This window comes from Homo sapiens, chromosome 11 (genome assembly GCF_000001405.40).
Source record: "Homo sapiens chromosome 11, GRCh38.p14 Primary Assembly".
In the NCBI taxonomy this organism is placed as follows: Eukaryota; Metazoa; Chordata; class Mammalia; order Primates; family Hominidae; genus Homo; species Homo sapiens.
The window spans coordinates 123,287,082-123,305,949 of NC_000011.10; the positions used below are offsets into that span (position 1 = coordinate 123,287,082).

Genomic DNA, 18,868 nt, shown 5'->3' on the forward strand with positions numbered 1-18,868 from the left:
TTAATTGAAAACTGCAAGTCTCAGAAGAGCGAACATAAGATACTCTTTTCTCTAAGAAAGGGTGGATAATAGAAATATTTACATATTTGTTTATATTTAAAGTAAAAATCAGGGGAAGGACAAACTTGCAAGTAAAAAATTGGTTACCTTTGGGGGGATGGAGGAGGCAGGAACATAGGCTAGACTTGTCTGAATGTACTTGTATTTGTTAACTATTGCCACAAAATAGATTAGTCAAAAAATTTAGTGGCTTAGAATAACAATAGTAGCATCTCACACAAATTTTGAGGGTCAGGACTCCAGGAGCTGCTTAGCTGGGTGGTTTTGTCTCAGGGCATTTCATGAGATTGTGGTCAGGACATTGGTCTGAGTCTCAGTCATCTAAAGGTTTGACTGGGGCTAAAGAACCCACTTGCATAGTGGGTCACTCAACTGAGTTGCTTCCTTGTTGGCAGGAGGCCTCAGTTCCTCACCACATGGACCTCTCAGACCCCATAGAGCTGCTTGAGCATCCTCATGACATGGCAGATGGCTGCTTCTATAACAAGTTATCCAAAAAAAGCAGGGAAAGCTGAAACGCCTTTTATGACCTAGTCTTGGAAGTCACATACTGTCACTTGCATCTTATTTGTTAGAAGCAAGATACTGAACATGGGGTGGTTGTAATTCCGGCACTGTGGGAGGCTGAGGCAGGAGGATTGCGTGAGCCCAGGAGTTCAAGACCAGCTTGGGCAACATGGCAAGACCTTGCCTCTATTTAAAAAAGAAAACAAAACCAAAAAGATACTGAGTCCAGCCCACACTCAAAGGGAGGGGAATCAGGCTTTGCCTTTTTAAGGGTGTATTAAATAATTTGTGGACATATTTTACACCCCTATAAAACCTACTTTTATATATTGAGTTTGGAACCATACTAATGATTTATATAATTATAAAAGCAAGTTAAATAAAATTGAACAAGAAACTGCAGTCCCTAAACAGTGAAAACAAAACGAAAGCAATAAACCTAAGCATATATCAGGTTGATTGTTTAAATATAGAGAAATAAATACTTTCAATGACTTTATTTTCATTTATTTTATTATGGTAAGAATTCTTAACATGAGATCTGCATGCTGAACAAATTTTTAATGTGTAACACATCATTGCTGGTTGTATGTACAATGCTGTACACAGCAGCTCTCTGGAGTTTATTCATTTTGCTTGACTGAAACTTCATGCCAGTTGATTAGTTAACCCCCATTTTCCCCTTTCCTCAGCCTCTAGTGGCCACAATTCCATTCTTGGATTCTATGAATTTCACTGTTTTAGATATCTTATGTAAGTGGAATCATGCAGTATGTGTCCTTCTGTGACCGGCTTACTTCATTCAGCATAGTGTTCTCAAGGATCATTAGTGTTGTCACCCATTGCAGGATTTCCTTCCGTTGTTTTTTGTTTTTTGCTTTGGTTTTGTTTTTTTGAGATGGAGTCTCCCTCTGTTGTCCAGGCTGGAGTGCAGTGGGGTGATCTCTGCTCACTGCATCCTCCGCCTCCCAGGTTCAAACGATCCTTGTGCCTCAGCCTCCCGAGTAGTTGAGACTACAGGCGTGCACCACCACACCCAGCTAATTTTTGTATTTTTAGTAGATGCGTGGTTTCACCATGTTGCCCAGGCCTCCCAAAGTGCTGGGATTACAGGCGTGAGCCACCGCACCCGGCCCTGGGTTTCCTTCTTTCTTAAGGCTGAATATTATTTCATTGCATGTATAGACCACATTTTGGCTTCCCATTCATCTGTCAATGGATATTTAGGTTGTTTCCACATCTTGGCTATTGTGAATAGTGTTGCAATGAACATGGAAGTGCTGATATCTCTTCGAGATCCTGATTTCATTTTTTTTGAGAAATATCCAGAAGTGAGATTGCTGAATGATAAGGTAGTTCTATTTTTAATTGTTTGAGAAACCTCCACACTGTTTTCCATAGAGACTGCACCACTTTGCACTCCCTAAATTCCCACAAGCACTATGCAAGGATCCTGATTTCTACGTATCCTGCCAACACTTGCGTTTGTTTTTTTTTTAATGGTAGCCATCTTGACAGGAATGAGGTGAACTTTAATTGCTTTAAAACAGAGGAATTGGACTGTACAATCTTAGAGGAATTTATCCAAAGGATAAATAGGATTGTAAATAAATCTTAAACTGTTTTCAGTAGTTATAATATTACTAATAATATTAGTATTATTATTCTGAAACTATTAAGTATATTTCTCTTAGCCCATTTTGAGTTGCTGTAAAGGAATACCTGAGGCTGGATAATTTATGAAGAAAAAAAGTTTTATTTGGCTGACAATTCTTATGGTTGAAAATCTCATGACTTGGCAGCTGCATGAGGTGAGGGCCTCAGGCTGCTTCCAGTCATGGCGGAAGGTGAAGGGGAGTTGGCGTGGCCTCAGGCTGCTGCCAGTCATGGCAGAAGGTGAAGGGGAGTTGGCCTGGCTTCAAGCTGCTTCCAGTCATGGCGGAAGGTGAAGGGGAGTTGGCGTGTGCAGAGTTCACATGCAAGGCAGGAGGAAGCAAGGGGTGGGGGAGGTACCAGGCTCTTTTTATTTATTTTTATTTTTTAATTTTTTTGAGACAGAATCTCATTCTGTCTCCCCAGCTGGAGTGCAGTGGCACAATCTCAGCTCACTGCAACCTCCATCTCCTGGGTTCAAGCCATTCTCCTGCCTCAGCCTCCCGAGTAGCTGGGATTACAGGTGCATGCCACCACGCCCTGCTAATTTTTGTGTTTTTAGTGGAGGTGAGGTTTCACCATGTTGGCCAGGCTGGTCTCGAACTCCCGACCTCAGGTGATCTGCCTGCCTCAGCCTCCCAAAGTCCTGGTATTACAGGTGTGAGCCCTGGCACCCAGCAAGGCTCTTTTTAACAATCAGCTCTTAGTAGAACTAATAGAGAGAGAACTCACTCATCCCTGAGGGAAGGCATTAATCTATTCATGAGGGGCCCACCTCCATGACCCACACACCTCCCACCAGGCCCCACCTCCAACATTCCCACATTGGAATCAAATTTCAGCATGAGATTTGGTGGGGACAAACAAACTATATCGAAACCATAGCATGTATATATGTTTCAGAATATATATATATTGTGTTCTATACAGTAATACTATATTAGTACTACAGTACACATATTACATATGTGTATTAATATATATTACTATATTGGTATTATTCTGAAACTAAGTACATATATACATATGTATATATACATACACACATATACATGTGTATATGTACCTCAAATAAATAATTATGGTAACATATTTAGGAACCAAGTCTTTCAGTAGAAGAGGAGAGATATAAATATAAAATTGAATGAGTCAAGTGGAAAATCCTGTAATCTTAAATTGGATTTAAAAAATTAATAAGTACTTAGGATGTATTTTCTTTAAAAATAAACATATTTCCTTGCTCTGCTCACTGAAAACGCCTGCAAGCCATGACTAACCCCAAAATAATAACCTTATCCTCAGATTGTGTTCTCTAAATAGAATTTCTAACTCAAGAAAGCCATGCCTCCTTGGATAAATGATTATTTCAAGGCTGGGACAGGAAACATTGAAGGGGGCCTGGAACATTCTATTGTACTGGAAAGCATGGAGCTATCACTGACCACAAGCATTGCCATCAAAAAGATCCAGGTGCCCACTTCAGTGTTCTCCCACTGGTCAAAGATGGGACAATTTTAACATAATGGCAACAATAATGATAATAGTAATAACTGCGATGCCACACCAAATATATTAAAATCTACAAGTTCATAATGCTAAAAAATGTGCAAATAAATACAACTAAATGAACACCTTTGTAAAATGCTAAGGAACCCACGCATTGTGAAAACTGGTAAAGAAGAAAACTGAAGGCAAAGAAGTAAGTATTCGTTTTGCTTTTCCTGTTTGGACTGTAACTCAGAAATGTCAGCTAATTAATGCAAAAGGAATATGACAACTAGAATATTACCATTTTGCAACCCGTAATAAAAAAACATCCAATTTCAGGCTAGAGCTTGAAGTCTACAGGGCAGGCAGCTGGAACGGGGGGATGGATGTAAATTGTGGAGAGCAAAACAAGCAGGAATTCATGAATTTGGACTGAGAGCTATGTCAGTTCTCTGATGTTGATGGTCTGGGTGTCCTGCAGAAGCCAGGGCTCTTTGTCCTGGGCTAAGCACACACACTAGCCCAAGTTGGGGAGAAGCTGAAGGAGTATGCAGGGGAAGGTGAGGGAGCTGCAGGCCAGCTGTGCCTCATGCCCACCAGAGGGGCCAGCAGATGTGCCCCGCATGTGTGACCTACCAAATGGCTACTGCCTCACTTCCATCTTCCAAAGCTCCCAAGAATCCCCCCACAGCTCATCTTAGCCAGAAACATATGGGAAAAGGGAACTCTGGGAAATACGGTCTGATCTAGCCAGGTAGACGTGTTAAAAAAAACCCACCATAGTCGTGGATGGCTGCTAAAGCCATTAGGCAAGAGGCTGCGGGGAGTTCTACATGTAAAGGATTTCACTGGCACATTCTGAATCCACTGATGGAAGTCATGTCACACAAATAGAAATGGCTTGTGTCTTATATCTCCGCCTGTGAAGTGACAGGAAGTACTCAACTACTCCGCAAAATAGCCTCACCAAAAAATCCAACTTGAATGGGATCTAGCCTCAGACTCCAACTGCAGTTCATAGGAAATACAGGGGAAGGAGAAAAATATTAAAGAACAGCACAGGCATATAGTCAGCACACTCTGAAATGTGATAGATTATACAGAACCCTTAGCGTCAACTTCTTCAACAAATAAGCTGCAAGAAAACAATAGAGATACAGATGACATAAATAAAAAGATATTAGAGGCCAGTCGCAGTGGCTCACGCCTGTAATCCCAGCACTTTGGGAGGCCAAGGCGGGCGGGTCACTTGAGGCCAAGAGTTCGAGACTAGCCCTGCCAATATGGTGAGACTCTCTCTTTACTAAAAATATAAAAATTAGCCAGGCAGGGTGGTGCATGCCTGTAGTTCCAGCTACTCAGGAGGCTGAGGTATAAGAATCGCTTGACCCTGGGAGGCAGAATTGCGGTGAGCCAAGATCCTACCACTGCACTCCAGCCTAGGCAACAAAGTGAGACTTCGTCTTAAAAAAAAAAAAAGTGAAAGAAAGAAAAGATACTAGAAAGACATATCCACCAAAAACAATGGTTGAAACTTGTTTGACTCAATTCATATAAACCAACTTAAATATATAAATACACACAACATATATATATATATGCAGTATAAAGATATACACACATATGTGTTTATATATATGTATAGGTATACACACATATATAATGAATAAAAGTCATGCATGGCTTAACAACAGGGATACGTTCTGAGAAGTACATGGTTAGGCGATTTTGTCCTTGTGTGAATGTCATAGTGTGTACTTACACAAACCTAGATCTCACAACCTCCTACATACCTAGGCTATATGATATAGCTTATTGCTCCTGGGCTATCAACCTGTAGAGCATGTTACCGTACTGAACATTGTATGCAATTCTAACACGATGGTAAGCATTTGTATATCTAAACACAAATATGTATCTAAATTGTGTACCTGTTAATATTAATAAACACAAAAGGTATAGTAAAAATAAGGTATAGAAGATTTTTAATAAGGAACACCTGTATAGCTCCACCTGATTGGAGCTTGCAGAACTGGAAGTTGCTCTGGGTGAGTCAGTGAGCAGGTGATGAATGAATGTGAAGGCCTGGGACATTACCACACACCATCATAGACTTGATGAACGATGTCCACATAGACCACACTAAATTTATGTTTAAAAAACCACTTTTTTTGCTTTAATAATAAATCAGCCTTAGCTTACTGTAACTTTTTTTTTTTTTGAAACAGGATCTCACTCTGTCATCCATGCTGGAGTGCAGGGGCACAATCATGGTTCACTACAGTCTCAACATCCCAGGCTCAAGCAATTCTTTTATCTCAGCCTCCCAAGTAGCTAGGACTACAGGTGCACACCACCATGCCCAGCTAACTTTTTTTTTTTTGGTAGAGATGGAGTCTCACGGTGTTGCCCAGGCTGGTCTCCAACTTCAAGCCTCAAGCAATTCTCCCACCTCAGTCTCTCAAAGTGTTGGGATTACAGGTGTGAGCCAGTATGCCAGTCCATTACTGTAACATTTTTACTTTTTAATTTTTACTGTAATCTCAGCTACTTGGGAGGCTGAGGCAGGAGAATTGCTTGAACCTGGGAGGCAGAGGTTGCGGTGAGCCGAGATTGCGCCACTGCACTCCAGCCTGGGCGACAAGAGCGAAACTCTGTCTCAAAAAAAAAAAAAAAAAGGAAACTTAAAAAACATTTCAACTCTTTTATAAGACTAGTTTAAATTACAAACCTATTGTACAACTGTACAAAAATATTTTTCTCTATGTCTTTATTCTATAAGCTTTTTTCAATTCAAATTTTTTTCTTTTTAAACTCTTTTGTTAAAAACTAAGACGCAAACACACACATTAGCCTAGGCCTACTCAGAGCCTAGATCATCAATATCGCTGTCTTCCACTTCCACGTCGCGTCCCACTGGAAGGTCTTTAGGGGCAATAACATGCATGGAGCTGTCCTGTCCTAGGATGACAATGCCTTCTTTTGGAAACCTCCTCAAGGCCCTGCCTGAGGCTGTTTCATAGTTAACTTTTTTTTTTTTTAAGTAGAAGTAGTGTACTCTAAAATAATGAAAAAAGTATAGCATAGTAAATACATAAACTAGTAACACAGTCATTTATTATCATTTTCAAGTATTATGTACTGTGCATAATTGCATGGCTATACTTTTATACGACTGGCAGTACAGTAGGTCTACACCAGCAGCACCACGAACACGTGAGGACTGCGTTGTGCTATGATGTTATGATGGCTGTGATGCCACTACGCAATAGAACATTTTCAGTTTCACTATAATCTTAGGGGACCACCTTTGTTTGTTTATGTGGTCCATCATTTTATGCGGCACATGACTCTGTGTGCGTGTGTGTGTGTGTGATATCAAGAGACTAAATTTGATTTTTTTTTCTTTGAGACAGTGTCTCGCTCTGTCGCCCAGGCTGGAGTGCAATGGCGTGATCTCGGCTCACAGCAACCTCCGCCTCCTGGATTCAGGCAATTCTCCTGCTTCAGCCTCCCAAGTAGCTGGGATTACAGGCACCCGCCACTACGCACGGCTAAATTTTTGCATTTTTAATAGAGACAGGGTTTTGCCATGTTGGCCAGGCTGGTCTTGAACTCCTGACCTCAGGTGATCCACCCTCCTTGGCCTCCCAAAGTGCTGGGATTACAGGTGTGAGCCACCGCGCCCGGCAAATAAACTTGATTTCTGATCAGTTATTTGATATTGAGTCACTGTTTATTTTTAAAGGCATGCTATACTATTGCGGTCATTATTTACTTTTTTATTTTAAATATTTTGAAGAATTTTTAAAAATCTAGGAATTAGGGTTTTCTTCCAAATAATCAGGGGGCAAGTGGGAGTATAAATGAAAAGGGTTGTCCACATGTTGATAATCACTGAAGCTGGGTGATGGGTATCTGGACGTTCATTATGCTACTCTCTCTGCTTTTGTATGTGTTTCACTTTGCTGGGCATGGTGGTTCACGCCTGTAATCCCAGCACTTTGGGAGGCTGAGGCGGGTGGATCACCTGAGGTCAGGAGTTCAAGACCAGCCTGAACAACATGGTGAAACCTTGTCTTTACTAAAAATACAAAAATTAGCCGGGTGTGGTGGTGGGTGCCTGTAGTCCCAGCTACTCAGGAGGCTGAGGCAGGGGAATTGCTTGAGCCTGGGAGGCGGAGTTTGCAGTGAGCCGAGATCGAGCCATTGCACTCCAGCCTGGGTGACTGGACGAGACTCTGTCTCAAAAGAAAAGAAAACAAGTAGGGATTGACAGTAATCATTGAAAGATAAATTGGACCTGGTTGACCAGGAAAACGAGGAAACTCATTTTGGAGATCAGAAATGGAGCACTGACCATTCATACAAAACTTCATATTTCTCAGAACAGTTTCCCATTCCACAGCTTTATCATTGTGTTCTCTTGTTGCCTGTGAGTTAGGCATGTCAGGCATGAAGCTGTGAATGAGAAAACTGAAGTTATGAGACCGAATGATCTGTCACAGGTACTAAGAGGCCACGCTGGTGTTAGAACTCATGTCTATCCTTAGGCCACAGAGGCAGGAGCAAGGGCCTTAGGGAGACTGTCCTGGCTACAGACCGGGGTCCATGCTGGAGGAGTTGGAAATATGGTTGCTTACATAGTGGCATCAAATTAGGAAAAAGCTCAGAAGTCACAAAGAAAAGGTTAGACTAGTGTCAAAGGTAGATTATTTTTCTTTCCACACTATTGCCCCTTGCCCCACACTTCACCCTTCCCACATACGAAGAAATATAGAAACAATTTTTTTTCTTTAGGCAGTGCAAAATGTTCAACTCTACTGCTTTTAAAATTAAGAAATGAGATTTTACAATCTTTTTTTTTTTTTGAGATGGAGTTTCACTCTTGTTGCCCAGGCTGGAGTGCAGTGGCGTGATTTCGGCTCACCGAAACCTCTATCACCCAGGTTCAAGCGATTCTCCTGCCTCAGCCTCCTGAGTAGCTGAGATTACAGGTGCCCATCACCATGCCCGGCTAATTTTTTGTATTTTTGGTAGAGATGAGGTTTCATCATGTTGTCCAGGCTGGTCTAGAACCCTTGACCTCAGGTGATCCACCCGCCTCAGCCTCCCCAAGTGCTGGGCTTGCAGGCATGAGTCACCATGCCCAGCCAGATTTTACAATCTTATTCAAAAAAATGTATTAACACAAAAACCATTTCAATTATGTATTTTAGTCAAGGAGGATAAGAGGAGCAGGAAAAATGAAGGCAGGGGAGAGAGGTGGAAAGGGAGAAGATGAGCAGGGGAGACAGGAAGAAATATTTTGAGCAGAAGATTAGTGATGATAAACTATCCTTATTCTACTGCTGCTATTCACTTGCGCCCCAGGCTTCGAAATGGATTTTTGCCTATTATGTCTGTCCTTTGAAAATCAGGATAGCTGATTGTATCGTTAGCCTTTAGGAACCCAGACTTCTAGTGTGAAGGAAGAAAGTGTACATGTGCCGCTGGCCAAGGGCAGAGCACACACAGAGCCTTAAATGAAAACCAAGAAGAGCCAGGATTATTTTCTGCAAAATACAATGTTGAGCAGAGTCCACCTCCCACAGGACGCAATGCCCTGCGGGTGACTTGACCACTGGGAAAGAAGGGCAGTGGCCAGGGTCCCCACACTCTTCATCCGGGGCCTGATATCATGAGGTCTGACTCAGTCTTCACTAGAAAACCCATAATCTCCTTGAGTCCCAAGTCTTCCTTGACCAAGAGCTGTGAATCACTAAATTCTAGACGAGAAACAACCATTCCATTGCATATCTGTTTTTCCGTCCTAATTCCTAAATTTTAAAAATAATGTCTTCTCTGTATTAAAACCACACACATGCAGTCAATCACTAGCCAGAATAATGGTGCAACTTTATCAATAGCACTTTTAGGAGCTATCAAATACTTAGACGCTATCTCACTATTCTCAGGAGTTTGGTGCGACAAGATGCTTCTTCCTGTGTTGTGAAACACAGACTGACATGATGGAACTGAAAACGTATTTTTCAATGCCTAGAAGCGTCTATGCTTTATTACTTTCCTTCAGATAGAAAAGGTGAGAAACAGTGACATATACCTTGCTTCATGGAATTACAATCCCTGGCAGTGATCACGTACACCTTCCTCAAAACATTCTTTTGAGGCTGGAAGGGAGGAGAGGCGATTCTCTTATTTGACAAAACGGAGAACAAAGCAATCGAGTTGTTAGTCAAAGTTCCCAAAGTATGTTAATGATGATATTAAAATAATTTTACACTTTAACTGTATTGATCTGCAGACCAGAACTCTTTCCATTCATCCAAAAGACACATATTGATTTATTAATTTTTAGTGATTATTAGGAACTATTCTACCATCTGGGGGTGCAAAGATGGATATGAAAGACACAGCTCTTAGGAGAGGCAGAGAAGTAAACAAAAGGTTCAAAGGCTCCTTCCGTGAGGGTTTTGTTCCACTTCTCTCAGTCTCTGTGTTAGTGGAAGGTAAGGATGGGGGGAACTGAAAGGCTAAAAACAGGGTTGAGAGCAGATGCCTGGGCTGCCTTGTGTAGCAGTCAGCACCTAGGGCAGCATGGGCCCTGGGAGATGTGGTTAGGAAAAGGCCATTTTCCTGATAGAGTAACCTGCTTTTTCTGAGACAGGGTCTCTCTTTCTGTTGCCCAGGCTGGAGTGCGGTGGTACAATCAGAGCTCACTGCAGCCTTGAATTCCTGGGCTCAAGTAATCTTTCTACCAGAGCCTCCCAAGTAGCTAGGTGTACAGGTGTGTGCCACCACACCTGGCACATTTGTGTGTGCCTGTGTGTGTGTGTTTGTGTGTGTATAGACAGAGTGTTGCTATGTTGTCCAGGCTGGTCTTGAACTCCTGGTCTCAAGGGGCCCTCCTGCCTTGGCCTCCCTAAGTGGTTTATAGGCATCCACTGGGATTACCCAGTGGGGTTATCCACAGGCATGTGCCACTGTGCCCAGCCCTGAAGTCAGCCCAGAATAGATGAGAATGAGCTATCTACTGATGAAACTACCTTGAGAGGTAGTTGTGAGTATAATCCTGAGGAGTGGAGAGCAGGAGAACTACAACCAAGGGGACCAGAGAACCTTGAGGCTAAAGCTCAAACCAGACGACCTGCATTGCAGCCTGTCTGAAATCATGCAAGGAGGCAGGAAGGGAGTGTGCGTCCAGTCGTGTGACCCAGCCCTGACCCAGGCAGAGGGTGTCCTGAGCCCTTCCCTTACAGGAGCCCTCCATGTGCCAGCATTCTGACCCATTTCAGGTGAGTTTCCTGTGCTGAAAATGAGCAGACATCTGTGATATAACCTTTTAACATGCTCCAATACCCTCATCCAATGCACCTTGCTTTGATCCCATCCCACCAAGCCACTGAAATTGGTTTATCCTATAGATTTTCATAGGAAAGAGGAGGTGCTGTCTCACAAATATGACCAATAACCACTCAGCAGTAATAAATCTGACTGTTACTTGACATGTCATCCCTGGTTAATATATTTTCTTGTGAACCTGATAGGTATGCATCAGATAACCAGGAAGGGAACTAGTAAAATCCAATTTTCAGGCCTGCAAAGCTGAAGACCAGAAATGGGACTTTCCAAGGTAGTTGTAATTTTCTTGGCCACCCTAGTTCTATTATCTGGAGTGCTGTCTAACATTTAGTTAGGTGCTCAATAAATGTTACCATTATTACTACAAAAATATTCCTATTTGTTTGTTAGTTTATTTTTACGGGCCAGGCACGGTGGCTCATGCCTGTAATCCTAGTGATGGCAGCAGTGGCCCGTCTGGAGCAGCTGCTGCAAAGACACCTACTGCAAAGTGGGAGGCACAGCCGGAACTGCGCCCTCCATGGAGCAGGTGGAGCTGGGAACAGGTGGGAGGGAGCCCTGCCTCCTTCCGAGTTGGCAGGGTGGGAACCCCTCCCTCTGTGGCTGCAGACCCAGGGATCGCTGCGCTCTCAGGGACCTGGGAAGCCCCCCTTCCCCCGCAGGCTCAGAAGTACCTGCTCTGGCTGTCTGGTCTCTGCCCACTTTCAGGGCCTGCTCTGGGGTGGAGCAAAGTTGTGGCTGAGCCCAGGCGCTGCTGTGACCTGTCTGGGTGTGTGCACACTCAGGGTGGCACTGACACACCAGCCCCCAGCTGCCTCAGCCCCCTCCAGACTTTGGGCACTGATGAGCACAGGAGGGAGGCCAAGAAGGGGCCGAGGGTGGCTCAGCACAGGCCTGCAAGCACCCCTTGGCATGAACAACCTGGGTGCTGCGGATGACATGTAGACAGCAGCAGGAGGCAGACAGGCTCCTGGGCGGAAAGGGGCCGGCCCCCAGTGAAGACCCACCCTCAAGCCCCAGATGGCCTGAAGCCTGGGGGTGGGAGTGTCAGGTCTGGGTGGAGTCCATGGCACAGAGTGAGAATTTATGGTGCTTTTTCTGGCCCGCCCATGGCTGTTCTTGGACCAATCAGCAGGCACTTCCTCCCTTCTGAAGCCCATAAAAACCCCCAGACTCAGCCAGACTCACAGAGACATCGGGACTACCAGCTGTAGGAAGGAGCTACCAACTTAAGTTCTCCTGGACTGGTCAGGATGACCTGCCTGTGGAAAGGAGCTACCCACTTCAGGTCTTCTGAGAGCTGTTCTGTCGCTCAGTGAAGCTCCTCTCCACCTTGCTCACCCTCTAGTTGTATGTTTCTCATTCTTCCTGGATGCAAGACAAGAACTCAGGACGCTTCAGGACTGAAAGAGCTGTAACACAAAGAGGGCCGAAACACACTCCTCCTTCTCCCCCACCCCAGTTAACCACGTTGCAGGTGATGAGAAGGAGAGAAGAGCTGCCATTCTTTGGGGAGCCTGGACCTAGGGGCTCCCTGAGCAAAGGCTATGACACCATCTTTGGGGCTTCGTGGTTCCTGGCATCTCCAAGCTTCTGGGTGCCACCATGTTCCCTGGTACCCACAGTGGAAGCTGCTTGTGGTACGCCTGGTCCAGCTGCAGCCTTGTGTGGAGCTGGTGCCTGTGCTGGCTCCTGGAGCTGTTCACCCTGCTGCAGCTGGCATGCCTGGCTGTGCGCAGTGGCCAGACCCTGTGCTTGCTCACACACCCCTTGCTGTTCTGCACCTGACTTGCCCTTGGCAGGCATGGGATCCAAGCTGGTAATGTGATCCAAGCACAGCTTGCAGGGCTGAGTGGCTGAAACGAGCCCAGTGGGCCCAAGCAAAACTCGGGCTAAGATGCCCCCGGCCACAGAGGTTTCCGGTTGGAAAAGCGACACCCTAAGGATCCTGTGACACCAGTACTTTGGGAGGCTGAGGCAGGCGGATCACTTGAGGCCAGGAGTTCGAGACCAGCCTGGCCAACGTGGTGAAACCCTGTCCACTAAAAATACAAAAATTCACTGTGTGTGGTTGTATGTGCCTCTAATCCCAGCTACTTGGGAGACTGAGGCACAAGAACTGCTTGATCTTGGGAAGCAGAGGTTGCAGTCAGCCAAGACTGCACCACTGAATTCCAGCCTGGGTGACGGAGTAAGACTCTGTCTAAAAATATATATATATATTTATGGCCAAGGGAATTTTAAACACAGAAATACCACGTATGTTTAAGCCATTCATCTCTACATACCTGCAAAGTAGCATGTCCCTTGAAGGCAGGGACCTGACCCAATGCCCTGCACATACAGGTGCTCCCACTGGGTGCTGTTAATAAACAGCCTATCTGGTGCTCAAAGCTGCTAAATTATGAAAGAGGAGACCAAGTCTGTCTTCTGTTCCTATCTCTCCTCTTCAGCATTTTCCTGCTTCTATTTGGATCCATTGTCTTCCCCTCTTAATACCCAAGTAGGCAGTTCGAGTTAAATTCCTACCTTCCTGAGAGTCCCTAAATCTGTGCCGCTCGAGCAGCACCCACACCGTATGTTTAACACTTCCCTGCCTGCCCCATCACAGCCTGCACCATAATGTCCTATATCGTCATTGAAAAGGATGGAGAGGGAACAGCTAGGCAACTGTTACAGTAGGATAATAATTGGAAAGGAAGCCTAAATGCTAGCTTTCAGGAATGATGCCAGCAATTTTAAGGCAGTATAAGAAGTTTCAGTCTGATATGAGGGAGAGGGAGTTGTCTTGATTTGGAGAGATTTCTCCTCTCCCTTCTTCTTCACTCTAAAACCACAAGTCAATCTAGAAAAGTTGGTGGTGTGTAGTTTGGTAAATAAGTTCAGCCTTTGACATGAAGATTAACCTGGTTTGACATTGATTGATTGATTTGACATGCAGATGACCTGAGATTGGTGCTCCTGTCAGTCTTAAAAACAAACAAACAAAAATCCCTAAGCTTTGAACTTGACCTAGTTGTTTACCACATGTGTGATTCCAGGCTAGCTTCCTGTCTGTAAAATAAGGGTAATTGTAATGCTTCCCTTTCCTATTGCACAGAAATGTGACGATAACGTAAGCCATTCTACATTCTAACTATGTGTGTGTTGGGGAGGGAGGGGGGAGGGATCATGTCTGTTTTGCTTCCTTTATTTCCATATTGTTTGGAAGATGCTCATTAATACTTGACTTAATGAACTGTCAGGTGGGATAACCCTTCCCTGTTCCTCCGTTTGGAGGGCAGATAGAACATGATGACTGGAGATGCATGAAATGTGACTAATGTCTCTGTGTAATCAGGACTTGCAACACCCTGATTGCTCCTATCTGATTCTTTCTGAACAAAACAAAACAAAAGAAAAACTTGACTTAATGAATAAATGGTGGAGTTGGGTGATTTCCACATCATTGATGTCCAAGCTTTAGCGTGCATCAGGATCACCCGAGGGTCTTGTTCAGACTCGACTGCCAAGACCCACCTAGAGAGTTTTTGGTTCAGGAAGCCTGGGGTGAGGCCCAAGAACCTGCATCTAACGACTTCCCGGTGTGCTGTGGCGCAGCGGGCAGGGACGGAGGCGCCCAGGGGCAGGCGGCAGCACGGGAAGAGGCCAGCAGGTGGCGCGGTCGCCCAACCCGGCCGCCCCCCGGGCGCCGAGGGAAGCGGGTCAGGGGCGTCCCCACCTGCCCAAGCGCCGGCTCTCCCAGGCAGCAGGGGCGGCGGCGGCCTGGCTGGCTGCGCTGCAGAGCGGAGAGCAGGAGCGGCGTGGGAGGAATTCGGAGCACTTTCGCCGCCTGCCTCCTTTTACTGCTGGTTGCCCTCAAAGGAGCCCTCTCCCTCCACACGCCTTTGGGCCTTACCAGCCGCCGGAAGCGGCGGCATCCATCCCAGCAAAGCGTGCATTCCATCCTCTGGAAAAAAAGTCTTTGAGCTTCCTTTACAGTGACCTTACTTTGGGGACTGAACCGTTGCGACTAAGAAAACCCCTCCTCAAGTTTAATGGAACGATCACATGACACGTGGTTGACGAAGCCATTCCCTCCTTGCTACTTGCCTTGTGTGATACACTGTCACGGCCCGGGCTTCTGGCTTGGTGGAGGGGACACCACCGCGGCTCCGGCTGCGGACTTCGGGCTCCTCCCCTGAGCCAGGCGGAGAGCGCTGCCCGCTTTAGAGAACTGTTAGGCGGCTGCCGGGCGACAACGCGGGAAAAGTGCCTTACACAGCGTAAGGGCTCAATCCACATTAAGGAATTAGGCAGGAAAAAGTGTCAGTGAATAGCCAGTGACAGTCCCTTAGGGAAGAAATGAATTTGGGTTTAGCTGTCCAGTAGAACTCTGCTGTCTACACTATCCAGCACAGTGGTCCCTAGCCATAGGTGACCATTGAGCACGTGAAATATGGCAAGGGTGATCAGAGAATTGAATTTTAAATTGTATTTAATTTTCATTAAATTTAAAGTATTAAACCGCACAGGTTTAGCAAAACGCCTTGCTGAATTGTGAAAAGATGTCCCTTAAGCCTTAGGGCATGGCTGGCAACGGATAAGAGGTAGTTAAATCTCTCTGCCTAAAAAGATATAGGAATTTTAGGGGATGGGGCAATCTGACTAGCAAGGAATGGAAGAGAGGTTGGGGGGAAAGGGCCAGAGGCATTGCGAGGAGTTAGTGACTAAGCCAATCAGAAAGGAAGTCAGTAAAACCCCTCTGGTGGCAGAAATGACTCAAGGGGAATTTAAAAACTGGAATGCGTAATATTCAGTCTGAAGTCGTTTACTGAGCAGCAGAATGATGTTACTTCTGTCTGTTGCCCGTCCCTTCAGAAATGTCTGCTTAACACAGAGCCTGGAGGTGGCAGCAATTAGGGAGTGACGAGATGACAAGATGTGGGGGTGTCCAGTGGGGGTGATTCGTTCACGAAAGGTGAGAGCAAATTCTGGAGGGAACAGGAGAGAGAGAAAGAATTCAGCACAGGTAGGATCTAGGGACTGAGAGACTGCGGTGATATTGTCAGGAGGACGCCTTTTCCGCTGCAGAGGGGATAGAGATTTTTGAACCACTTTTAATTAAATCTTAAAGGTAACAGCAGCTCCAGCAAGTGGGAGGACTTGAACATCCAGGTCTTTGCTTCAAAGCATTTCTTCAGATTAATGCTTCCTGACTTAAATAACCTCACAGAGCAGGCATCTCTTGAAGGGCCTCACTGCAGACTGCAGGTGTGAGTGAGAAAGGAGGCCAGGAGGGCTTGGGCAATGCTGCAGCAGGCAGACAGGAAGCAGAGGCACCGGTGTCTTGCTAAATTTATAAAGCGTAGCATCATTTTTTCTGGACTTTTGTCTCTCTCTGTGGTGTCTAGCAATAATGAACCACTGTCCACCTGCTCCCAATTTCTGTAGGGGTGTGTGTGTGTGTGTGTGTGTGTGTGTGTGTGTGTATGCAAAGCGAGGTGCAGCTTCGGTGCCAGGCATACTTCATGTGCTGCGACACAGCACCTCCTAGTCATTATCTCTGCTGCTGTCTTAGAAGATAACTCCTGAGGGTGATAATGTGGCATCAAGCTCCTCTTGCAAGTGATTCCATGACAAAACTCTCAGATCATGCCCTGTCCACCACCCCTTCCCTGCCTGGAACCTAGAGGTAGATCAAACATCACCTCTTAGTAGCCACCTGTGACTCGTAGCCCCAACAGCTGCCTCTCTGACCAGGAAGCCTTTGCATAGAGAACCGGGAAGGGAGAGAGTGTAGGCTTTCCAAGAGAAGGGACTTGTGTTTTCCCTGGTTCCTCTGTTGTATCCAAGTAAAGCTAGTTCTCTAGCTACTGCACGTGATAATTTATTTGATCCTGTTTTTGCCCACAGGATCTCCCAACCACTCCTTACTGTACCCTCTACCTTCTAACCCTGTTCTGCGGTAACCTCCTTGAAGAAACGTCACCTAGTGGAACCTCCTGGTGTCACTCTTGCGAGCACCCTCATGTACATCAGCATGGTTGCTCTGGGCAACTCCCAGTGGAGATGAAGCAAGTGGATAATCCCCAGTGGGGTTCGAGAGTATCACATGTTTTTCCAAAAAGCTCCCATTAAAATAAATATATTACCTGGCAGGGAGAGGAGAATCGCAGCATTCAGCTGGCAGACTGGCAAGGAATATTCCATCAGATTGAATAGAAGTCACTGGTCTAGGAAGGGAAGCTTCAGGGAAGAGAGTTTTTTGTTGTTGTTGTTTTTTGTTTTTTTTTTTTTTGAGATGGAGCCTTACTCTGTCACCCAGGCTGGAGTGCACTGGCACGATCCCGGCTCACTTCAACCTCTGCCTCCTGGGTTCAAGCCATTGAAGAGAGTATTTTTTAATGAGGGCAAGATGAGGGATGGAGGAGAAGGATGGAGAGGGATGAGAGGGAAATGGGAAACTAAAGGGTGCCACTCTCTGAAAGGGGCTATGCAAGAAGAATGATATTTTGCATGAGATACGGAGGAGAATGAATCTTGAGATTTTTAAAGTGAGATTAACATGGATTCAAATTGTGGCTCAGCCATCATCTGTGTGACCCCCTTGGGGGCCCATCTCAGGAGGTTTATTTTCCTCATGGGTACAGGAGGTCATTAGGATCTCATGAGATTATTTGTGTAAAGGTCACACCTTAGAAGGCCCATGCATACATCACGTTTGCTTAAGATTGACCACTTTTCCTGCCACAGGAAGGAAAAACAACAGCCACAGCAAAGGCCAGGAGAAATCATAGTGTGCATTTGTGTAGTTGTTATACCTCTCAGAGCACTTTCCTATAGGTCATTACGATTGCCCAAGTTCTAACAAGCTCAAGAGGTAGAGAGTCTCCAGCAGCGCCCCTGCTTGTAGAAAGCGGCATTAAGATCCCATTCAGCTTGGTGGTGAACTAGAGCAGAACTTTCGGGTCTTTTCAGCCCTGAACCTGGTCTGGTTCTCAAACGCTTTTTGATAACCCATGCCCTACCTTTAACCCTGGCATGTTTAGTGCAGTTAATTAGTTGGGCAGAGCATAACGTATGCACTTTTGAGAGACATTGATTGTGTGTGGTTAATTGGGAACTTGTCTGAGTGTGTGGTGTCTGTCTGCTGTGCACTGTGAAAGGCAGAGTCTGCCGCCTTTGCAGGAAATAGGCAGTTGACACTGCTGTTTTCCTGCTGTGCCAAGCCAGCCAGAAGGAACTTTGCCAGGTTCTTAAGGGCTTCTGGGCCCAGCTTTGCTGATAAAGATACAGTAACCTGAAGTGCTTTGATGAGGCTGTGTGCAGATTAATTCAGGTTCAAGACTAAGTTGGCATGAACTGAGCTTTGAGTGATGGGTACGAAAAAGAGTACCAGGTACTCACAAGGCAGGGACAAAAAAGCAAAGTGTGTCCCAGTAAGGGAGCAACATCACTGACTACCACTCTTTTAGTACAATGAACACACCGTCTATGGAACAATTACTATGTGTCAGGCACCGTGCTGGGTGTTTTTCTTATATGATCTCTTTGAATCGTCACAGCAACCCTATAAGAAACCATTTATGTCACTCGGAATTGCAGATGAGGAAGCAAAAGCTCTCTTAGCAAGGTTGAATAACTCGTCTAAGGTATGTAATAGAAAATACGGAGGCATCATTTGAATCTCAGGATTTCTATCTTCAGATCATTTGCTTCTTACACCTGCACTACATTGTCTGTCACCAAACTGATCTGACAAATGACCCAGATCACAATATGGATTGGCAAGAGAGGGGGAAATATCTTATGGTGC

The 18,868-nt window shown here is 45.2% G+C and overlaps 1 non-coding gene across 1 annotated transcript, besides 2 other annotated features; it reads left to right on the plus strand.

Annotated features, from left to right (window-relative positions):
- Positions 2,046 to 2,547: an enhancer, noted in NCBI's record as "H3K27ac hESC enhancer chr11:123159835-123160336 (GRCh37/hg19 assembly coordinates)". NCBI's record gives its function as "activates a minimal SCP1, AML or CMV promoter by ChIP-STARR-seq in primed H9 embryonic stem cells {active_cell/tissue: H9 hESC(primed)}" and the evidence as "EXISTENCE:reporter gene assay evidence [ECO:0000049][PMID:30033119]".
- Positions 14,309 to 14,442, plus strand: LOC124900305 (U8 small nucleolar RNA). The gene has a single exon (XR_007063000.1). It is a non-coding gene; the product is annotated as a U8 small nucleolar RNA (small nucleolar RNA).
- Positions 14,616 to 14,975: a silencer, noted in NCBI's record as "silent region_4013". NCBI's record gives its function as "represses an Ori minimal core promoter by ATAC-STARR-seq in GM12878 lymphoblastoid cells {active_cell/tissue: GM12878}" and the evidence as "EXISTENCE:reporter gene assay evidence [ECO:0000049][PMID:35858748]".